The sequence below is a fragment of the Homo sapiens genome, chromosome 16 (genome assembly GCF_000001405.40).
Source record: "Homo sapiens chromosome 16, GRCh38.p14 Primary Assembly".
Classification (NCBI taxonomy): domain Eukaryota; kingdom Metazoa; phylum Chordata; class Mammalia; order Primates; family Hominidae; genus Homo; species Homo sapiens.
The window spans coordinates 70,655,954-70,661,203 of record NC_000016.10 but is presented as its reverse complement, the minus strand read 5'-3'; the positions used below and the strand labels follow the sequence as shown (position 1 = coordinate 70,661,203).

Below are 5,250 nucleotides of genomic sequence, written 5' to 3'. Positions count from 1 at the left end.
CCCCTGCCTCTGCCTGGCTGCTTCCTACCCCATCCCCACACCTCACCTTTCCCACCCCAGATCCCAGCTGCAGGGGGACAGGCTGGGGGTTCCCAGAGGATCTCAGATCTCAATGTAGGTGCCAGGGCCAGACCTGGGTCTCTGAAATGTCCCATATGTGTCCCTGCTAGGGGCTGCCTGGGGGCAGCCAGATGGAGGGAGGGAGGGAGAGAGGGAGGGAGGGAGAGAGGGAGGGAGGGAGGGAGGATGGCAAGGGTCAAAGCCAAGGTATCAGCCCAACACCGCCTCCCCCAACCCAGGCTTGCAGAGGCCCCTGGGCTGGGCTGGGCTGGGCTGGGCTGGGCTGGGCTGGGCTGGGCTGGGCCGGAACTCCATCCCTGGCATCCCTCTCATTCCACATCCCTTGGGCAGGCTCCATCCACTCCAAATCCGCATCCTCAGCCCTGCCCCCCTCCACTTCCTGCACTTGGCCACCTCCCATCCCCGCCAGGTTCACCCCTGAAGATGCAAAGCAAAGCAAACCAAAGGAAGTGGGGTGTTTAATAGAAAAAAGAAACTGGAAGAGCATCCACTATGGCAAGATGTGGCACTTGGCACCGCCCTCTGCCCCCAGCTCCCCAGTCTGCCAGGCTGGGGGGTCATAGAATGGCCACGCCGTGCTGGCTGTCTCCCCTGCAACCCACAGCTGTGCCCTCACTGCTGCGGGCCACAGGAGGCTCAGTACCCCCTTTAGGCGGGGGGACAGTGAGGGCAGCACCAGGAGAAGCCAGGAGCTGTGTCCCCATCCACCTTCAGGTCCCCAGGTCCCCTCCGCTCCAGGTGAGGCCATGACAGCTATGGAAGGCAGGAAGCTGAGCCCTGCTGTGGCACAGAATCCCCCTCAAAGGAAAAACACCCTTCCCAGGGGTCCTCTCCCAAGGGGGGCTCCCACCACCACCCCTTGAAGTCTCAGACCCAGTTGAACTCCTGTGGGAGCTGGTCTGGCTGCCCCTATCCGCAGTCACCATCCAGGGTGCTCAGGGCAAGAGGCCCTCGCCCTGTGCCCTGACCGGCCTCACCGAGCCCGTGGAGTGAGGCGGGGAGCTGGGGGACCACGGGGGCGGAGGGTACAGCTGGGTGGCCGCATACTGCAATGAGGGCTCTGGGCTGCAAGACTGAGGACTTGGCACCTCACAGTCCTGCCAGTTTAGGACGGAGCTTTGTTTACCTGCAAGAGATAGGGGAAAAAAAAAAAGACTGCAGCAGTGTTCAAGACCACCCTCCCCACTAAGCCAAGCCGCATGTGCTTGTCCCCCACTCTACCCAGGGCCCATCCTGGCTTCCAGAAATGGCTTGTAGCCCCGGGGAGCAGAGGATATGCCCGGGAGGACGCCAGCTCTGCCAGCTGGCCTGGGTGGGCCCAGATGCCTGGCCTCCCACCCCCAGGCGCCATCCCCTGAGAGCTCCTTACAGCAGGAGCAGTACAGCAGCTCCATGACCCGGAAGCAGTTGTCCAGCAGGGCTTTGGGCCGCACCAGCTTCAGGTTTGGCCCTGGGGCATTCAAGAGGGACAACACGGATTCCACCTTGGGGCTGACCTCCACATCCTGGAAAGGAGGAAACAGTCAGGAGCGGTGGCGAGATGGGGCCGCACCCCAGGAGAGCCGTGAGGGCTGTCCAGTCACCTGGAGCTGCCCAAACCCCGGAAGAAGGACCAGACTTCCTGTGACCATGAGCCTGGATAGCTATTTCTCACCATCTTCTTCCTGTGGGCATGGGGAGGGTCCCAGATGCCACCACTCACCCATGTACAACTCAGAGGCTTCGCTTTTCCATCCTTGAAAAATGAGTAAAGGGCGTAGACCAGGACAGTGAGGAAAGTGGGGCAAACTGCACCCAGGCACGGCCACCCACCACTGCGTGAGGACCCCCTGACCTGGGGAAAACTGTCCCTCAAGAAGCAGACATCTCCATCAACTCCAAGGAACAAGAGAAGGTCCTCACAGAGACACTGAGGCTTAAGTCACATACACAGGGCAGGGTGTCCAGCTTCAAGCTGGGGTGCTTTCTCTCCACGATATGCAACAACAGGGTCATGTGGGGTGCACCGTGGCACCAAGGGAATCAAGTCCCTGAACAGGAGGTCAGGGCCACTGTAGAAAGCATCATGGGAAACGTGGGGGGTGATCTTCTGGAAGGGGGTGACAACAAGGCAACATGTCCTGGGCCAAATTGTCCCTCTCCTCCCCCAAAAAGCTGTCTTGGTCCTACCCCTTGGTACCCGTGAATGTGACCCTATTTGGAAATAGGTTCTTTGCAGAGGTAATTAAGTTCAGGATCTTAGAAGGACATCATCCTGGATTTCAGGTAGGCCCTAAATCCAATGCCTGATGTCCTTGTAAGAGAAAGGTGACAGACATGGAAACAGGGCAGAAGGCCATGAAAAGACTGAGACGGCCAGGAATGGTGGTTCAACCTGTAATCCCAGCACTTTGGGAGGCTGAGGGAGGCATATCACTTGAGGCCAGGAGTTCAAGACCAGCCTAACCAACATGGCAGAACCCCGTCTCTACTAAAAATACAGGTGTGGTGGCAGGCATCTATAATCCCAGCTACTTGGGAGGCTGAGGCAGGAGAATTGCTTGAACCTGGGAGACGGAGGTTGCAGTGAGCCAAGATTGCCCCACTGCAATGCACCTGGGCGACACAGTGAGACTCCGCCTCAAAAAAACAAAAAAAGCCACCACAGAGGCCAGGCAGGATGTAATCCCAGTCCTGTAATCCCAGGACTTTGGGAGGCTGAGGCAGAAAGATCACTTGAGGCCAGGGGTTCAAGACCAGCCTGGGCAACATAGCGAGACCCCCATCTCTAAAACAATAAAAAAGAAATAAAATGAAATAAACAGGAAAAAGAGCCACCAAGCAGATCAAGGAGTCTCCTGACTTTGTAGGAATTGACAGCCTCCCCACCAGTCTGGTTCCAGGAAAGCTCCAGGCAGCTGCAAAACAGGTGCTAGTCCCTAAGCCCTTTCACCGTCGGAAGCTCACAGTTGGCCTGGGATGTTCTCCCGACAAGCTGGGCCTTGTCAGCAGCTGGCTGGGCAGGGCAGCAGGTGGATCCCAGGGACAGGTGTGCACCAGAGTCCTGAGGAGGTCTGGTGGAGACGGGGAGAGGTCCCACCGCACACACGGCCTGCATGGGTCATCTCGCCACCTTCCTTTTTTACTACAACTCAGGCATTTTAGAGGATAATATCCCTGAGGCCTCAGATCAATTTCTCTGAGCGGGTCAGGGATGGGGGACCTCTTTTTTTAATTAACTAAAGTCCATAATTTACATTAGGGCTCACACTCTCTGTTGTACAGTTCTGTGGGTTGTGACAAATGCATGATGTCATGTATACAACATGAATGCATTATACAGCATAGTTTTTTGTTTTTTGTTTTGAGATGGAGTTTTTCGTTCTTGTTGCCCAAGCTGGAGTGCAATGGTGCAATCTCAGCTCACTGCAACCTCTGCCTCCCAGGTTCAAGCGATTCTCCTGCCTCAGCCTCCTGAGTAGCTGGGATAACAGGTGCCCACCACCAGGACTGGCTTATTTTTGTATTTTTAGTAGAGACGGGGTTTCACCATTTGGCCAGGCTGGTCTCAAACTCCTGACCTCGGCCTCCCAAAGTGCTGGGATTACAGGCATGAGCCGCCGCGCCCGGCCTGCAGCATGTTTTACTGCCCTAAACATTCCCTGTGCTCCATCCATTCTTCCCCTCTCCCCCTACCCCACCTCCAGGACCCTCGTGTTGCAGAAACAAAGAGGGTACGATGACTTGCCCAGGATCCAGAGGGAGAGAGGCAGAGCCTAGAACAGAGTCTCAGAGGCATCGCCTGCACCCCGAGCCCGGCTCTCATGACCACCACGGCTGCCTCTTCCTTCCACAGGCCTCTTTTCCTGCACCCCTCCCCCACTTCTCCCACGTCCCTCTGCTTGTGCCCATCTTTCCGTGTATTCACCCTTTCCCTCACTAGCCTTTGGCCACACCTCACACACATGTACACACGTGTGCACACACACACACCCCACCTGCCACTCCTCCACACAACTCACCGTGAGGCCCTGCTGGACATTCAGCAGCAGCGTCTCCACCTCCTGCAGGTACTTCCAGGATGGGTGGCCCTCGAGCAGCACGTCCTGCACCGACTCAGTGGCACTGAGGCTCACCAAGACCCACAGATACCGCAGCTCCCGCTCGCTCACCTGGGCCCTCTGCTGCGGAAACAGGGAAGTCACTGCAACTCGGGAGACATGGGCCTCTGGGCTCTGACCACTCCCTCACCAGGGACTTGCCCCTGCATAGGGAGCAGACGCGGGCCGTCCGCTGTGGACAGTGGACAAACATGTGCCTGGGCCAAGGGCCAGCCTGCTCTCGGGGCTGAGGAGAGGCCCCAGGCCAGCAGCACCACCTGCCAGTCCCAGCGCGCCTCTGAGGCTGGGGCCCACCGGATGTCGCAGGAGGCAGGGTCCCCCCAGCCCAGGAAGGGATTCTCACCAGCCTGGTGACGTTGGCGATTCTGAACACCCCCTCGTAAGGCACACTGATCTTGTAGTTGATGGGGAAGTAGTGTTTCTGGAGAGGCACAAGAACAAACTATGAGGCCAGAAGTAGAAATGACCAGCAGGCTCCCCAACCTCCCAAATGATGTTTTTTTTAACAGTTAGTCTCACTCTGTCACCCAGTATGGAGTGCAGGGGCAGCATCATGGCTCACGGAAGCCTTGACCTCCCAGGCTCAAGCAATCCTTCCACCTCAGCCTCCCAAGTAGGTGGGACTACAGGTGTGTGCCACCACGCCCAGATGATTTTTTTATTTTTTGTAGAGATGGGGTTTCTTCTTGTTGCCCAGGCTGGTCTTGAATCCCGGGCTCAAGCCCCTCAAAGTGCTGGGGTTATAGGTATGAGCCACCATGCCCGGCCTCCAGATGAATTTTGATGTAGGAGGAGAGAACTCAGGGCCCAGACCTTTGACGGCAGAGGTGGTCCTGTGCAGAGAGGTGTGCCTGGCTCCCAGCTGGGATAAAAACACTTCACTTTCCTCTGGGACTCAGGGTGGGTGAAACAAAATACACAGTTCCTGTTAAGGCAGAAATTTCAGGCTCAAGAGTGAGGACACGTTACTTCAAGAAAAACATGTTATTTTGTGGGTGAGAATGTTCTAAAACCTATGATGGTGATGGTTGCACAACTCTGTGAACTAAAAACTCTTTGAGTTGTGCAC

At 56.7% G+C, this 5,250-nt stretch overlaps 1 protein-coding gene across 13 annotated transcripts in view; it reads right to left on the bottom strand.

Annotated features, from left to right (window-relative positions):
- IL34 (interleukin 34) overlaps nucleotides 522-5,250 on the bottom strand; it is an 80,784-nt gene continuing 76,055 nt past the window's right edge. For 9 of the 13 annotated variants that reach the window (XM_047433649.1, NM_152456.3, XM_047433650.1 and 6 more), the window contains 4 exons: nucleotides 4,525-4,602; nucleotides 4,083-4,244; nucleotides 1,451-1,586; nucleotides 522-1,207 (listed from right to left, as the gene is read on the bottom strand). In XM_047433649.1, the coding sequence (XP_047289605.1) occupies nucleotides 1,017-1,207; nucleotides 1,451-1,586; nucleotides 4,083-4,244; nucleotides 4,525-4,602 (567 nt within the window). In that variant the 3' untranslated portion in view covers nucleotides 522-1,016. The remainder of the gene's footprint in view (nucleotides 1,208-1,450; nucleotides 1,587-4,082; nucleotides 4,245-4,524; nucleotides 4,603-5,250) is intronic. The other 4 variants (NM_001172771.2, NM_001393495.1, NM_001393496.1 and 1 more) reach the window with 1 other exon arrangement.